General features: G+C 36.6%; 1 protein-coding gene and 1 long non-coding RNA gene across 5 annotated transcripts in view; one reads left to right on the plus strand and one right to left on the minus strand.

Annotated features, from left to right (window-relative positions):
- The window catches only part of EMCN (endomucin), a 122,682-nt gene that overhangs the window by 34,911 nt on the left and 70,649 nt on the right, over nucleotides 1–17,122 (minus strand). The window contains exon 6 of one of the 4 annotated variants that reach the window (XM_017008290.2): nucleotides 15,760–15,996. The exons of the other annotated variants lie outside the window; for them this stretch is intronic. Within the exon in view, the coding sequence (XP_016863779.1) occupies nucleotides 15,992–15,996 (5 nt within the window). The 3' untranslated portion in view covers nucleotides 15,760–15,991. Of the gene's footprint in view, nucleotides 1–15,759; nucleotides 15,997–17,122 lie in introns of those variants that run through there. 4 annotated transcript variants of the gene reach the window in all.
- Nucleotides 1–17,122, plus strand: part of LOC124900740 (uncharacterized) — an 89,972-nt gene that overhangs the window by 8,881 nt on the left and 63,969 nt on the right. The gene's annotated exons all lie outside the window — the stretch shown is intronic.

The following is a 17,122-nucleotide window of genomic DNA, read 5'->3' on the forward strand; positions in this document are numbered from 1 at the left end:
ACAGTAAGTAGGTGGCAGAGCCAGGATTTGAATGCACGCTCTAGAGTCTGTGGTATCAACCCCAAAATTATGCTGCCCAATCTGCTGCATTTCAGTAGGAATGAGTTATAAGGACATGACTCTTATTTTTGTTACATAAAATATAATCTATTTTCAATTTAGGCCTCAATCAAAAAGGCATTTTTTCTTATCAAAACAAGCTAAACACTTTCCTTCAACAGGTCAAACCAGACCATGCAGATAGAAACAAGGAGACAGGGAGAATTATTCCTAATATAGTAAATAAAGCGTGTCGTAGAGTTCATTGGAGAACCATACCCATTTAGCAATACCAGGAAATGTGTTGCTTCCTAAAGTGATTGCTGGGCAGCTCACCAGTGAAGACTGTGAGTTTTTATGACTTTTCAGTGCAGACTAGGGTGGTGCAAGAACAGTGCAGAGCACTACTTTGAGATTCGGTAGATCCCTGAACTAGATAAGAAACCACTTAGCCATACCCAGAATCTGTACAATTTCTTAAGGAGAAGTTTGTACCAGACACGATCACATATACGTTGATATATTTCTTATTCCATAATTGAATTCTTTTATTCTCAATTAATTTTCTAAACATCCTAAAATCCTATGTTAAAAAAATCTAGATATTACTCTGCTAGAGGTATATTTCTAGCTTGAGTGGATCCTAACTAAACGACAATAGCAGGATTCTGTCATTCAAAGTTAGAAAACTTAAATAAACTACCCCCTATAGAATGGTTCATGTTTCACTTTATATAAGTTCCTAGAGGGTCAGCAGCCAATGCCCAAAAATAAGAGTGTCAAACACAGTGAATATGCTCAGACAGGATGGAGCATCCTCTTTTCCAAAGGCCTTTGGTCAGATTTGGTGGGACTTCTAATACCTGTTCTGGCTTTGTTTTTCTATCAGATGTAATGACCACAATGCAACTGAGACTCTGAAACACAGTTAAGGAAAGTAAAAAAGATATGTATGATGAGATCTTTCAAGTTACGCTAGTTGCTGTAGGAATATTGTGATGATTAATTTTATGTGTCATATTGAATGGGCCACAGGTGCCCAGATGTTTGGTCAAGCATTGTTGTGAGTGTGTCTGTTAGGGTGCTTTTGGATAAGGCTAACATTTGAATCAGTATACTGAGCAAAGCAGATTGCCCTCCCTGACTGGTTGCCTCTCGTCCAACCAGTTGAAACCCTGGGTAGAACAAAGAGGGAACTTCTTCTGCCTGACTCTCTTGAACTGAGACATTGGTCTTTCCCTGAGTTAGGAGGCAAACTGAAACACTGGCTCTTCTTGGAGCTTGAGGCTGCCAACTTTTAGACTGGAACTTATGCCATCAGTGACCCTGGTTCTCAGGCCTTTGGACTCAGGCTGGCATTACTCCATCAGCTGGCCTGAGTCTTTAGACCTCTCAGCCTCTATTATCACATGAGCCAATTCTTACAATACATCTCTCTCTCTCTTTCTCTCCCTTTCTGCTCTCTCTCTCTCACTTGCTCTCTCTCTCCCCCATCCCTCTATCTATTTCTCTCTCTCTCTCTCTCTGTCTCTCGCTCTCGCTGTCAATGCACAACCTATTGGTTCTGTTTGTCTGGAGAACCCTAATACAGTTGTTTTCCCCAGAAAATTAAGGGTTAATGGCTTATTCCTTTCTCAATTCGGTAAGGCACAATGGTCCATTTTGCTCAGGGCTGAGATCTCTTATCAATGAAATCAAAAGGTTCATTTTCAAGGACAAGTTATTAGCTCTGCCTGTCTGTGTGAAAATGATAAGGCTAAAGAAAAATGAATTCCATGATTGCTTAAAATTGTTGTAATGGCTATGCAATGTTTGCATTTATCTTTAGGGAATAAACAGCCCTTCATCACTTTTCAGAGGGTCTTTTAATCTCCTCATTAGGTCTGAACTTAGAGCTAGAAAAATGAGTAGGTAGAATAATCTGGCTGCCAAGGGGTCAATTCTTTCATGAACCCTTTCTCATCTTTTAAAACCAGCCTTTTTTTTTCACCCAATGGATACCTCAACCACAGCCAAAGGAAAGAAACGAAAAATAAAAATTACTCTATCCTCTGATCTTACATAAGATTATCTGAAGTTCACCCATGACATATTACTTTATACCTACATGACTACTAGAATTATTATAGTTATGTATAATATTGACTTGTGTCCTTAGTAACTGCTAATGGCAGGTTCCATGTATCATTCCTCTTTTAGCTAGTGTACACATAATAGGAACAAGATGAATATTTATTAAAAGCCTTGGTTAATGGTGGTTGATTAAATATACCATTCTGTATAGTTAGCATAGGTTCATACCAAGTTTGGGGCCTTACCAGATATGTTACAGTGGGCAGTTGCAGTTTGATTTTCCCCAATACTTTAAATATTGAGCATAATTTTCTCATGTTAAGCATCATTAAACACAGCTTTCTATCACATACTACTGTTGTGCTATTGAATGAAATGAGTGGAGATGTCTTTAGATCTTGATTGATCAATTGATCATTTCCACATAACTATAATTATCTTTCTTTGATCTCTCATTTTAAAACTTAAATAAATTTTTAAAAATAAATTTTATTGTATATATTTAAGGTATACAACATGATATTATGAGATATATTTAGATAGTAAAAGTTACTATAGTGAAGGAAATGAACATATCAATCATCTTATATAATTATACACTTTAGTTGTTTCTGTGGCAAGAGCATGGAAATCTACTCATTTAGCATGAATCCCAAATACAGTACAATTGTGTTAACAATGTCCTTATGTTGTACAATAGACTCCTAGACTTTATCCCACATAGCTGCTACTTTGTATCCTCTAATCTACATCTCCCCATTTCCTCTCTGTCCCTGGTAACCACTGCTTTGTTCTCTATCTCTGTATATCTGAATTTTTCTTTTAGATTTCACATGTAAGTGAGATCATGCAATATTATTTCTGTGTCTAGCTTATTTCACTTAGCATAATGTCCTCCATGTTCATCCATGTTTTGGCAAATGGCAAGTCTCATTATTTTTTAGGACTAAATAATATTTCACTGAATATGGAATATTATTCTTTATCCATTCATCCATTAACAGACACTTTTAGTTTCTACGTCTTGGCTGTCATGAAAATGGGAGTCCACATATCCTTATGTGGTGGTAATTTCATATCCTCTGGGTATATGCCCAGAAAAAGGGATTGATTGATGGATCACTTGGTAGTTCTATTTTTAATTTCTTTCAAAATCTCCATACTATTTTATTTTTTTTCCTTTTTTTTTTATTTGACAGTCTCACTCTGTCATCCAGGCTGGAGTGCAGTGGTGCCATTTCGGCCCACTGCAACCTCTACCTTCCAGGTTCAAATGATTCTCCTGCCTCAGCCTCTTCAGTAGCTAGGATTACAGTCAAGTGCCACCACACCTAGCCAATTTTTGTATTTTTAGTAGGGACGGGGTTTCACCATGTTGGCCAGGCTGGTCTCAAACTCCTGACCTCAGGTGATCCTCCTGCCCCAGCCTCCCAAAGTGCTGGGATTACAGGTGTGAGCCACTGCACCCAGCCGAAATCTCCATACTATTTTCTATAATGGCTGCACCAGTATGCGTTTCCATCAACAGTGTACAAGAGTTCCCCTGGCTGATAAAAGCTGGAAACATCTTGAATCAACAACCTAACATCACAATTAAAAGAACTAGAGAACCAAAAGCAAACAAACCCCAAAGCTGGCAGAAGACAAGAAATAACCAAGATCAGAGTGGAACTGAAGGAGATACAGAACGAAAAAACCTTCAATAAATCAATGAATCCAGGAGTTGGCTTTTTGAAAAAATTAATAAAAGAGACTACTATCTAGACTAATAAAGAAGAAAGGAAAGAAGTATCAAATAGACAAAATCAGAAATGATAAGGGGGATATCACCACTGACCCCACAGAAATACAAACAACCATCAGAGACTACTATAAACACCTCTGTGCACATAAGCTAGAAGAAATGTATAAATTCCTGGACTCATACACCCTCCAAAGACTGAACCAGGAAAAAACTGAATCCCTGAATAGACCAAAAATGAGTTCTGAAATTGAGGCAGTAATAAATAGCCTACCAAGCAAAAAAAAAAAAAAAAAAAAGCCTGGGACTGGATGGATTTACAGTTGAATTCTACCAGAGGTACAAAGAAGAGCTAACACCATTTCTACTGAAACTATTTTAAATAATTGAAAAGGAGGAACTCCTCCCTAACTCATTTTATGAGGCCAGCATCATCCTGATACCAAAACCTGGCAGAGATACAACAAAAATATAAAACCTCGGGCCAATATCTCTGATGAACATCAATGCAAAAATCCTCAATAAAATACTGGCAAACCGAATCCAGCAGCACATCAAAAAGCTTATCCACCATGATCAAGTTGGCTTCATCACCAGGATGCAAGGTTGGTTCAACATAAGCAAATCAATAAATGTAATTCATCACGTAAACAGAACTAAAGCCAAAAACCACACGATTGTCTCAATAGATGCAGAAAAGGCCTTCAATAAAATTCAAAATCCCTTTATGTTAAAAACTCTAAATAAACTGGGTATTGAAGGAACATACCTCTAAATAATAAGAGCCATATATGACAAACCCACAGCCAATATCATACTGAATGGGCAAAACCTGGAAGCATTCCCCTTGAAAACCAGCACAAGACAAGGATCCCCTCTTTTACCACTCCTATTCAACATAGTATTGGAAGTTCTGGCCAGGGCAATTAGGCAAGAGAAAGAAATAAAGATATTCAAATAGAAAGAGAGGAAGTCATATTATCTTTGTTTGCAGATGACATGATCCTGTACCTAGAAAACTCCATTGTCTCAGTGCAAAAGCTTCTTAAGCTGATAAGCAACTTCAGCAAAGCCTGGGGATATAAAATCAATGTGCAAAAATCACTAGCATTCCTATACACCAACAGCATGCAAGCATAGAGCCAAATCATGAATAAACTCACATTCATAATTGCTACAAAGAGAATAAAATACCTAGGAATAAAACTAACAAGGGAAGCAAAGGACCTTTTTGAGGAGAACCACAAACCACTGCTCAAGGAAATCAGAGAAGACACAAACAAATGGAAAAACATTCCATGCTCATGGATAGGAAGAATCAATATTGTGAAAATGGCCATACTGCCCAAAGTAATTTATAGATTCAGTGCTATTCCCATTAAACTACTATTGACATTCTTCATAGAATTAGGAAAAAAACTATTTTAAAATTCATATGGAACCAAAAAGAGCCTGAATATCCAAGGCAATCCTCAGCAAAAAAGAACAAAGCTGGAGGCATCACCCTACCTGACTTCAAACTATATTACAAGGCTACAGTAACCAAAGCAGCATGGTACTGGTACAAAAACATGCACATAGACCAATGGAACAGAATAGAGAACTCAGAAATAAGACCACACACCTAAAACCATCTGATCTTCAACAACCCTGACAAAAACAAGCAATGGGGAAAGGATTTTCTATTTAGTAAATGATGCTGGGAGAGCTGGCTAGCCATATGCAGATAATTGAAACTGGACCCCTTCCTTATACCTTATACAAAAATTAACTCAAGATGGATTAAAGACATAAATGTAAAACTCAAAACTATAAAAACCCTAGAAGAAAATCTAGGCAATACCATTCAGGACACAGGCACAGGCAAAGATTTCATGATGAAAATGACAAAAGCAATTGCAACAAAAGCAAAAATTGACAATTGGGGTCTAATTAAACTAAAGAGCTTCTGCACAGCAAAAGGAACTATCATCAGAGTGAACAGACAAAATACAGAATAGGAAAAAATTTTTGCAATCTATCCATATGATAAAAGTGTAATATCCAGACCCTACAAGGAACTTAAACAAGAAAAAAAAAACATTTTAAGAAGTGGGCAAATGACAGGAACAGATGCTTCTCAAAAGAAGACATTCATGCAGTCAACAAACATGAAAAAAAGCTCATCATTGATCATTAGAGAAATGCAAATCAAAACTACAATGAGATACCATCTCATGCCAGTCAGAATCACGATTGTTAAAAAGTTAAGAAACAACAAATGCTGATGAGATTGCAGAGAAAAAGGAATGCTTTTACATTCTTGGTAGGAGTGTAAATTAGTTCAACCATTGTGGAAGACAGTGTAGCAATTCCTCAAAGACCTAGAGGCAGAAATACCATTTGGCCCAGCAATCCCATTATTGGATATATACCCAAAGGAATATAAACCATCCTATCATAAAGTTATATGCATGCATATGTTCATTGCAGCACTGTTCACAATAGCAAATATATGGAATCAACCCAAACGTCCATCAGTGATAGACTGGATAAACAAAATCTGGTATATATACACCATGGTATACTGTGTAGCCATAAAAAGTAATGAGATCATGTCCTTTGTCTGGACATGGATGGAGCTGGAAGCCATTATCCTCAGCAAACGAATGCAGAAACAGAAAACCAAACACTGTATGTTCTCACTTACAAGTCGGAGCTGAGCCATAAGAACACATGGACACATGGGGCGGGGGACAACACACACTGGGGCCTATCAGTGGTGAGAGAGGTGTGCGGGGGAAGAGAGAGCATTAGGAGTAGTGAATGGATGCTGGGCTTAATATCTAGGTGATGGGATGCTCTATGCAGCAAACCATCACGGCACACGTTTATCTGTGTAACAAACCTGCACATCTGCACATCCTGCACATACACTCTGGAACTTAAAATGAAAGTTGGGGGAAAAAAAGAATTCCCTTGTCTTCATACCCTTGCCAAAATGTGTTATCTTTTGACTTTTTGATAATATACACCCTAATGGGTGTGAGGTAGTATCACATAGTAGTTTTGATTTATATTTCCCTGATGATTAATGATGTTGACCACATTTGCATGCACATGTTGGCAATTTTCATGTCTTCTTTCACAAAATGTCTATTCAGGGTATTTTGCCCATTTTTTAATCATGCTATTTGTCTTTCTACATTTGCATCTTAACCCCTTATCAGGTATATGGTTTGCAAATATTTTTCCCCAATTTGTAGCATGCTGTTTTATTTTGCTGATTATTTCCTTTGCTGTGCAGAAGCTTTTTAGTTTGATGTAGTCCCATTTATTTATTTTTGATTTTGTGGCCTGAGCTTTTGGTCTGATATAAAAAAAAAATCATTTCTGAGGCCAATGCCCAGCAGATTTTCCCCTATGTTGTCTTCTAGGAGTTTTATAGTTTCTGGTCTTACCTTTCAGTCTTTCATCCATTTTCAGTTGATTTTTGTGCATCGTTTAAGATAGGGTCCAATTTCATTCTTTTACGTGTAGAAATCCAGTTTTTGCAGCACCATTTAGTGAAAAGACTATCATATACCCATTGTGTGCTGTTGGTGTCTTTGTAAAGAATTTGTTGACAGTACACATTTAGATTTATTTCCGGGATCTTTATTCTGTTTCACTGGTCTATGTGTCTGTTTTTATGCCAGCACCATATTGTTTTATTATAGATTTGTAATATAATTTTAACTCAGGAAATGTGATGCCTCCAACTTTTTTTTTATTTTCAGAATTGTTTTGGCTATTTGGGGTCATTCATGTTTTCATACATATTTTTGGAATGTTTTTTTATTTCTGTGAAGAATGACCTTGGGATTTTAACAAGGATTGTGTTGAATATATAGAATATTGCTTTTTGACATTTTAACAATATAAATTTTTCTGATTCATAAATACAGTGTATCTTTCCATTTATTTCTGTCTCCTTCAAATTCTTTTATCAATGTTTTCTCTTTCAGTATACAAATGTTTCACTTTCTCGGTTAAATTTATTCCTAAGGACAGATGGTCCTCAACTCACAAGTTTTAACTTTACAATGGGGTTTAAGACATAACCCCATTGTAAGCTGAGGAGCATCTGGACTTGTGATGGTTTGACTCAACAATTTTTCAGCTTTAATATGAGTTTATCAGGGTATTGAGTGCATTTTTGACATACAACATTTTCAACGTATGATGGGTTTATCAGAATGTAACCCCATGGTAAGTCAGAAAGCATCAGTAATTTTTTATGGTACCATAAATGAAATTGTTTTTTTCAGTTAGATTGTTATTTGTGTATGAAATGCTAGTACTTCTGGTACCATGTTAATTTTTCCTTTTGCGACTTTACTGAATTCATTTATTAGTTCTAACAGTTTTTTCTGTGGAATCATTACACATAAGATTATTTCATCTGCAAGTGGAGATTTTTTTTTCTTTTTGATTTTGATGTCTTTTATTTCTTTTCCTTGTATGATTGCTCGTGCTAGTACTTCTGGTACTATGTTGAACAGAAGTGACAAGAGTGGGCATCCTTACCTAGTACTGGATCTGAGTGGAAAAGCTTTAACTTTTCCCCATTGATTATAATTGTAGCTGTGGGTTTTTCATAAATGTTTTTTATTATATTGAGAAACATTCCTTTTATGCCTAAACTGTTGAGAGTTTTTTTTTTAATCAAGAATTGATGTTGGATTTTGAAAAATGCTTTTTCTGTGTCAAGATCATTGTGTGGTTTTTATCTTTCATTCTGTTAATGTCATATATTACTTTGATTGATTTGTATATGTTAAACTAGCCTTGCATATCAGAAATAAATCCCACTTGGTCACAATATATAATTCTTTTGGTGTGCTGTTGGGTTTAGTTTGTTATGTTGTTGGGTTTAGTTTAATCCTCAATATTTTACTAAGGATTTTTGCATCTGCATTCGTCAGACAGATTGGTCTGCATTTTTCTTGTCTTGTAATATCTTTGTCTGACTTAGGTATCAAGGTGATGTGGTCCTTATAAAATGTGGTTGGAACTATTCATTCTACCTCTATTTTGTTTAAAAGAGTTTAAGAAGTATCATTATTAATTCTCTGAAGGTTTGGTAGAATTCAGCTTTTATAAAACTATCTGTTTCTGGGCTTTTCTTTGTTGGGAAGTTTTTTGTTACTTCTTTGATCTCTTTATTTGTTATTGGTCTGTTGTTCAAGCTTTCTATTTCTTCTTGAATTGATCCTGGTAGGTTTTAGTTTTTGTTTTTTTGTTTTGTTTTGTTTTATTCTGTTTTTTAAGCAATTTATCTGTTTAGATTATCCAGTCGTTGGCATATATTTTTTCGTAGTAGTCTTAACGATCCTTTTAATTTCTGAGGTGTTTCATTTTTTTCGCTTTAATTTATGATTTTATTTATTAGTCTTCCCTTTTTTTCATTTAGACCAGCTAAAGGTTTATCCATTTTTTTTTATTTTTTGAAAGCACCAACTCTTAATTTTATTGATTCTTCCTATGATTTTTCTGTTCTCTATTTATGTTTTTATTTTTATTATTTTCTTCTTTCTGCTAATTTGGGGTTTAATTTATTCTTCTTTTGTTAGTTCCTTGAAGTGTAATGTTAGATTACTTATTTGAGATTCTTTTTGTTTTTAATGTCGGCATGTATTGCTATAAACTTTTCTCTTTGAACTGCTTTTGCTACATTTCATAGGTTTTGGTATGTTGTGCTTTAATTATTGTTTGTCTCAAGATATTTTTTAATTTCTCTTTTTATTTCTTCTTTGACTCATTGGTTGTTCAGGAGCACGTTACTTAATTATCATATAATTGTGGATTTTCAAGATTCCTCTTATTATTGATTTCTAGTTTCATAGCATTATAGTCTGAAATGATATTAGATATTATTTCAATTTAAAATTTAGTAAGTCTTGTTTTGTGGCTTATCATATGGCCTATCCCAGGGAATGTTCCATGTGAACTAAAGAAAAATGTGGCATATTATCCTGCTGTTAAAGTAAAGCTCTGTATATGTCTGTTAGGTCTAATGGGTGAAAAGTGCAATTCAAGTCTAGTATTTCTTTTTTAATTTTCTGTCTGGTTGATCTATCTACTCTTTTTAAATTATTTTTTATTAATTTTGTGTTCTTTTTTATTTTAATAGCTTTTGGGGTACAAGTGGTTTTTTTGTTACATGGATGAATTATATAGTGGTGAATTCTGAGGTTTTAGTGCATCTGTCACCTGAGTAGTGTATATTGTACCTAATGTGCAGTTTGTATTCCTAGCCTCACTCCCACGTTCCCCCTTCTGAGCCTCTAAAGTTTATTATATCATTCTGTATGCCTTTGCATACTCATAGCTTAGCTCCCACTTGTAAGTGAGAATATACAATGTTTGGTTTTCTCTTCCTGAGTTACTTCACTTAAAATAATGGCCTCCAACTCCATCCAAATATCTGCAAAAGACATTATTTCACTCTTTTTAATGGCTGAGAAGTATTCTATGGTGTGTGTGTATATATATATGTGATATATATAAATATATATCACACTTTATTTATGCACTCATTAATCAATGGGTACTTAGGTTGGTTCCACATTTTTGCAGTTGTAAATCATGTTACTATAAACATACATGCGCAAGTGTATTTTTAATATGACGACTTCTTTTCCTTTGGGTTGACATCTAGCAGTGGGATTGCTGGATGATCTATCCGTTGTTAAAAGTGGGGTAATACCAGCACTTTGGGAGGCCAAGGCAGGCAGATCATGAGGTCAGGAGATTGAGACCATCCTGGCTAACATGGTGAAACCCCGTCTTGACTAAAAATACAAAAAAAAAGTAGCTGAGCATGGTGGCAGGCACCTGTAGTCCCAGCTACTTGGGAAGCTGAGGCAGGAGAATGGTGTGAACCTGTGAGGCAGAGCTTGCAGTGAGCTGCGATTGTGCCACTGCACTCCAGCCTGGGCAACAGAGTGAGACTCTGTCTCAAAAAAAAAAAAAGTGGGGTATTAAAGTCCTTCAATATTATAATATTGCTCTTTATTTCTCCTTTCATGTCCATTAATATTTGCTTTATGTATTTAGGTGCTCCAATGTTGGTTGTATATATATTTACAATTGTAATGTCCTGTTGATACATTGACCCCTTTATCATTAAATAATGACATTCTTTGTCTCTTGTGACAATTTTTGACTTGAATTATATTTCATCAGGTGTAAGTATAGCTACTCCTTCTCTCTTTATTATTTGCATGGAATATCTTCTTCCATTGCTTTACTTTCAGCCTATGTGTCCTTAAAGCTTAACTGGGTGTCTTGTAGGCAGCATATAGTTGGATCTTGTTTTTATTCATTCAACCATTCTATGTCTTTTAACTAGAGAAATTAATTTATTTGTATCCAAGGTCATTATTGATAGGTAAGGACTCATTGCTGTCATTTTGTTATTTGTTTTCTGATTATTGGTAGCTTCGTTTCTTTCTCTCTCATTGTCTACCTTTGTAATTTGGTAATTTTCTGTAGTGTTAATCCTTGATTCTTTTCTCTTTATCATTTATATACCTGCTGTAGTTTCTTATGTTGTGGTTACCATGAATCTTCCATAAAACACCTTATAATCAACTATTTTAAGCAGATAATAACTTAAATTCTGTTGCATACAAAAACTCTATACATTTACCTTTCCCCTCACAATTTGCTTTTGATGTCACAATTTTCATCTTTTAATATTGTATATTTATTAACAACTTGTTATACGTTTAGTTATTTTTGACCATTTTGACATTTAACCGTCATGCTAGAGATACACATGATTTACACACCACTATTACAGTATTAGAGTGTTCCTGATTTTACTATGTATTTACCTCTTCAGTGAGTTTATACTTTATAGATATGTCATATGTATTTATAATAGTAATTGTCATTTTTTAAGATTCCCATTTGAAGAACTCCTTTAAGCATTTCTTGTAAGGCAGGTCTAGTGGTGATGAATTCCTTCAGCTTTTCTTGTCTGGGAACAATTTTATTTCCCCATTTTGAAGGAGAGCTTTGTTGAACATAGTATAGTTGGCTAGCAATGCTTTTGTTCTTTCAGCTCTTTAAATATATTATTCAATCTCTCTTGATCTGCAAGGTTTCTATTGAGAAATCCACTGATAACCTAATGGCAATTCCTTTACATGTGATTTGATGCTTTTCTCTTGTTGCTTTTAAATTTCTCTTTGTCTTTGACTTTGAAGAGTCTGGTTATAATGTGCCTTAGAGAGGATCTCTTTGGGTTGTATATTTTGGAGGGCCTTTGAGCTTTATGAATCCAAATGTCTATATCTCTTTTAAGATGTGGGAAATTTTCAGCAATTATTTTATTAAATAAGCTTTCTGTCTCTTTCTTTGTCTCTTTTTCTTTTGTAGAATGTGCTTGCTTAATGGTGTTCCATAAGTCTTGTAGGCTGTCTTCACTATTTTTTATTCTTTTTCCTCTGATGGAGTAATTTCAGAAGACCTATCTTTAACTTCACAGATTTTATCTTCTGATTGATCTCGTCTGCTCTTGAAGTTCTCTAATAAATTTTTTATTTCATTGATTGAATTCTTCAGCTTCAAGATTTCTGTTTGGTTCTTTTTATATCTGTCTTTTCATTGAATTTCCTAATTATATAATGAATTGTTTTCCTGATTTTATTAAATTGTCTATTTGTATTCTCTTGAATCTCCAAGTTTCCTTCAGTTCATTATTTAATTTTATTTCATTTTTATTATTTTTCTGAGACAAAGTCTCACTCTGTCACCCAGGCTAGAGTGCAGTGGTGCAATCTTGGCTCACTGAAATCTCCACCTCCCAGATTCAAGAGATTCTCCTGCCTCAGCCTCCCAAGTAGCTGGCATTACAGGTGTGTGCCACCACACATGGCTAATTTTTGTATTTTTAGTAGAGACAGGGTTTTGCCATGTTGGCCAGGCTGGTTTTGAACTCCTGACTTCAAGTGATCTGCCCATCTCAGCTTCCCAAAGTGTTGGGATCACAGGCATTAGCCACCACACCCAGCCCAGCTCATTACTTTAAATCACTTTTCAGAGAGTTTGTAATTTCTGCTTCTTTGTCGCTAGTTATTGGAGAACTATGATTTCCGTGTGGTACCATGCTTCCTTGCTTTCATGTTCCTTGTGTCCCTGCATTGATGTCTGCACATTTAGTGATGTAGTTTCCTTTTTCAAACTCTAGTAGGGGAAGACTTTCAGTTGCATATGGGTCTGAGGCTGCCAGTTGGGCAGGGCGCCTCTGGTTACATGTAGGCACAGTGGGGTAATCAATGTGCAGCTTCTTTAGTTGTGATCAATGTCAGCAATGAATGTAGGTGCCTCAGTGGCCTAGTTTGTAGGTTGCTAGGGCAAAGGCTTAACAATTCTCCTGTTCTTGTCTTTCCCACAGTGGGGAGTCTTAGCTGAAGAAAACTATTTTTGTGTTTGGTCTGATATGGCCCACAGGCAACCATAGCAGCACTGGGAGCCAGGGCATAGGTGATCAGAGTAGCTGTGGATATAGGTCATGGGCTCAGGGTCTTGTGAGACTACTGTAGCACCTTGGACTTGAGGCACAGGTTCACTTTCCAAGATACAAATGAATGCAGTTTCCCCAGTAAGGCAGGGTCTGTTCCTCTGAGGTGCACCTCACCATCTTAGGCCCAGAGTGCTGAAATATAGCTGAGGTTGTGACCCTGGTGGACATGGGACACCACTGGCACAGCTTGGTAGAAAAAGGAGTTCTCTAGAAGCTTGGGTCCAGGGAGCAGAGAATAGCTGTAATTTGGGACCAGGAGTCAACAGAGGTCAGCAAAAATGTAGACACTTAGCGATGAGGTACTATGTAGTGGTGACTCTGGACCCTGGGATGGTGGGACATATCACTACCCCAGGCTCTATGAGGCCAGGTACAGCAGCAGCAATGATGCAGAAATGGCAAGACACTGCTGTAGCTTGGACCTTGGTGGGAGGGGTGCAGCACAGCACCAGTCCCCCAAGAGGCAGCATGTCAGACTGCAGGGGTGTAGTGCAATTTTGGGTGGGCAGGCATGTGGCTGTTCAGCCTGGAGGGCAGGGTGGCACAGCTCAAGCCAGGCCTTATTTCTTTGGGATGTGTTGTGCCACATCTGTCTGGCCCCAGAAATCATGTCCATATGGGTCAGTGGAGCCTCTGGATGCCTGTGGGGTACGGTACTACATTAGCTATGGCACTGGAGTGTGCAATTATTCTTGTGTGCCAAAGGCTCTGAGCCCCTGTGGGTAGCATGCTGTCTTATCTGTGGTGCCAGGGCTGGGAGTTTACTGCTCTAGTGTAAGTCTGTGATCCTGGATGGTGGTGGTGGGGTATGCTGCCTCATCTATGGCATTGAGGGGCATGACTGCTCTGGTGTGCAGAAGACCTGAGGTCCCTGAGGGTTGGAGCGCCATTTCAGTTCAGTCCTGAGAGGAGAGTGCACAGTAACTGGAATGTGGGGAGTGGAGTAGCTCCACGGAACTTGGCCCTAGAGGGTAGGAAGTAGTAGCAGCTTGGCTGGTGGATGGTATGCTATTATATGGCTTGTTGCAGTGGTAACAAAACATCAGGGATGGAGGGGTGCAATGCATACTCACGCTTGGAGCAGGATGCACTTGTTCCCAAGATTGTACAGGGCAGTAGCAGCAGGAGCCATGAGACAAGAGGTAGGGGCTGAGAAGAGGAGGGAGGGCCACAGCATCAGCTCCTTCTCTAGGGATAGCTCAGTATGTAGACTCTGGGGAGCACCCTCAGCTGGGCTCAAACCCTATAAGGACTGCAGAAGTCTCTAGTGCAAAGACTGCATGTATCTGTGGAGATGACGGAGGTTGTTGGGGTCCTCTTGCTTACCTTTTTCCTGCAGAAAGGGGTCTCTTCTGGTTTTGAGTTGATCCCAACTAGGGAAATGGGATGGCAGAGGCAAGGTGTTTCCTCCTGTTTCCTATGTGGCCATCCTGTGTTTCAGTGGTCTACAGGATTTCTGCTGCTGTTCTCCAGAGCTTTCCTTTAGTTATTTTGATCAAGATGTAGTTGCTTATTCATTATTTTTAGTTTTTTGTGGGAAGTGGGAAGAGCACTAGAAGCTTTTAGTTGGCCATCTTGCTGATGTCACCAACATGGATCTATTTTTGTTTTATAATGTTAAAATACTATATCTATGTACAATTTGTCATAATTTACATTTTATATAGAATCCTTACTTATTTTTAATCTCCCAAAAAGGTTCTACATAAAATCATCATCAATTTCTAGACGCTTAATAATAGTTTTTGAAGTCGTTGCAAAAATGTAACTTTTCAAGGAAATTAAAACTAGCTGCATAATGTTAAAGAAAATATCAAATGTGAGAACTGTGTGTGATATATTCAAAGACTGAATCCATATTTGCTTATATTTATAGAAAGGAAACAGGACTAGTAATTCTATGGGCTGTAATTTTATGTCAACTTCTACCTAAAACAGAAATATGAATTATTTTTAATAATATGCCTGCCTTTAATCGCATGGATGAATATTTCACAAATTTGGTATTTTAACATCTTTGATGCCAAATACATAAAACTAAAGAAGTCTTTAATCTGAAAAAAACCAGAAGTATAAAGAATACCCTGTTAATAAATTTGTTAATTCATCTTTTGGGGGATGGTGTTTCCTGATTTAGTCTTTAGCTGCAATTCATATTTGAAGTTTGAATGTAAAAAAATGAGACTCAATTTTCTAGTGGCTTATAGGACCAGTCTCATTTCTTTTTAATCCACTACGCAAATAAATTGTTTGTTACTTATTTGGCTTAGGAAAATTAGTTTACATAACTCGAAAAATAAAAATAGCCTAAATGAGCTTTTGTTCCACAAAAATCAATTAAACTTATAGCTGGCATTTTGTAAATAAAATTTATTTAAACAAAATGAAGGATCCTTCAGTCCCTCCTTAAAGAGAACTGACAATTTGGCTGCTTCCCAATTCTTCAACTCTGACTTCTCCTTGATAGTCAATCTGTGAAGCAGAGGGAAAAAAATCTCTTCCCAGAACTGCATCAGTCTTCTCTGACTGGATGCACTGTTTTTGTCTTGTTTTGCTGTTTTTCCTCTAGTGCCTGCCAATTTTTAGCCTATGAAGATGGAAATAATAAAAAATATGGTGATTAATGAATTAAAAAAATGGTGATTAGTGGAGTAAAGGGAATTAATAATATAAAAATAACTTCTTTAATAATGAGATATATGATATAGAAGAAGATAATTATTAAAAGTTAAAAGCATAATAATTTGATTCAAATTCCTTGAACACAAGAGGTAGAAGTTAGACTAAGGTGATTACTTAGAATATTTGCTGTGAAAATAGAGCACCCATAATTTTTAGTGTCACTCATAATTTTTTTATTTTTCTAATTTTTAAAAAGTTTTATGAACCTATAGGTTTATTTCATATTTTTAGTTTATTTATTTTCATTTTTAAACTTTAATTTTAGTCTCAGGGATACACATGCAGGTTTGCTATATAGGTAAACTCGTGTCATGGGGAGTTGTTGTACCAATTATTTTATCACCCAGGTATTAAGCCTAGTACCCAATAGTTATTCTTAATGCTCCTCTCCCTCCTCCTACCCTCCACCCTCAGGTAGACCCCAGTTTCTGTTGTTTCCTTCTTTGTGCTCATGAATTCTCATCATCTAGATCCCACTTGTAAGTGAGAACATGCGGAATTTGGTTTTCTGTTCCTGTTTCATTTAGTTTTCATTTAGTTTACATATATCAAAGATGACCAGCACTGAAAGCTTATGAGATTTGTCATTTGTATAAGTACCAGGTAGGATGTAGAAAGATAAAAATCCCTCAGATAACTATGATTTCTGAACAGGAAGACTCAACATTGCCATCTTCCCCTGCCCAACGATCTTCAATTCCTATTGCTCCATTATCCAAAAAACATTCAGTCTAAAACTAAGGGTGGCAAATACGAGCACTAATTGGAATGATAGCATTTTAAATTGTTAACTGTGGTTTCTAAGGTCATCTTTTTGGATACTATGACCAGATTTTGTTAGAAAGTAAGAGAAGACATTTTGTACTTCTGGGAGAGGTCACACTGACAACAGAAACAGATCAAGAACAGTGGGTTTCAGGGCAGAGGACAGAGGGCAATTTCACAGGCTTTTATACATTCGCTAGAGCTGGCTCCACTCACCTTAGTCACAGAACACTTAGACATGTCCTTATATGTTCTCCTGGTCTGCA

The sequence above is a fragment of the Homo sapiens genome, chromosome 4 (genome assembly GCF_000001405.40).
Source record: "Homo sapiens chromosome 4, GRCh38.p14 Primary Assembly".
NCBI lineage: Eukaryota > Metazoa > Chordata > Mammalia > Primates > Hominidae > Homo > Homo sapiens.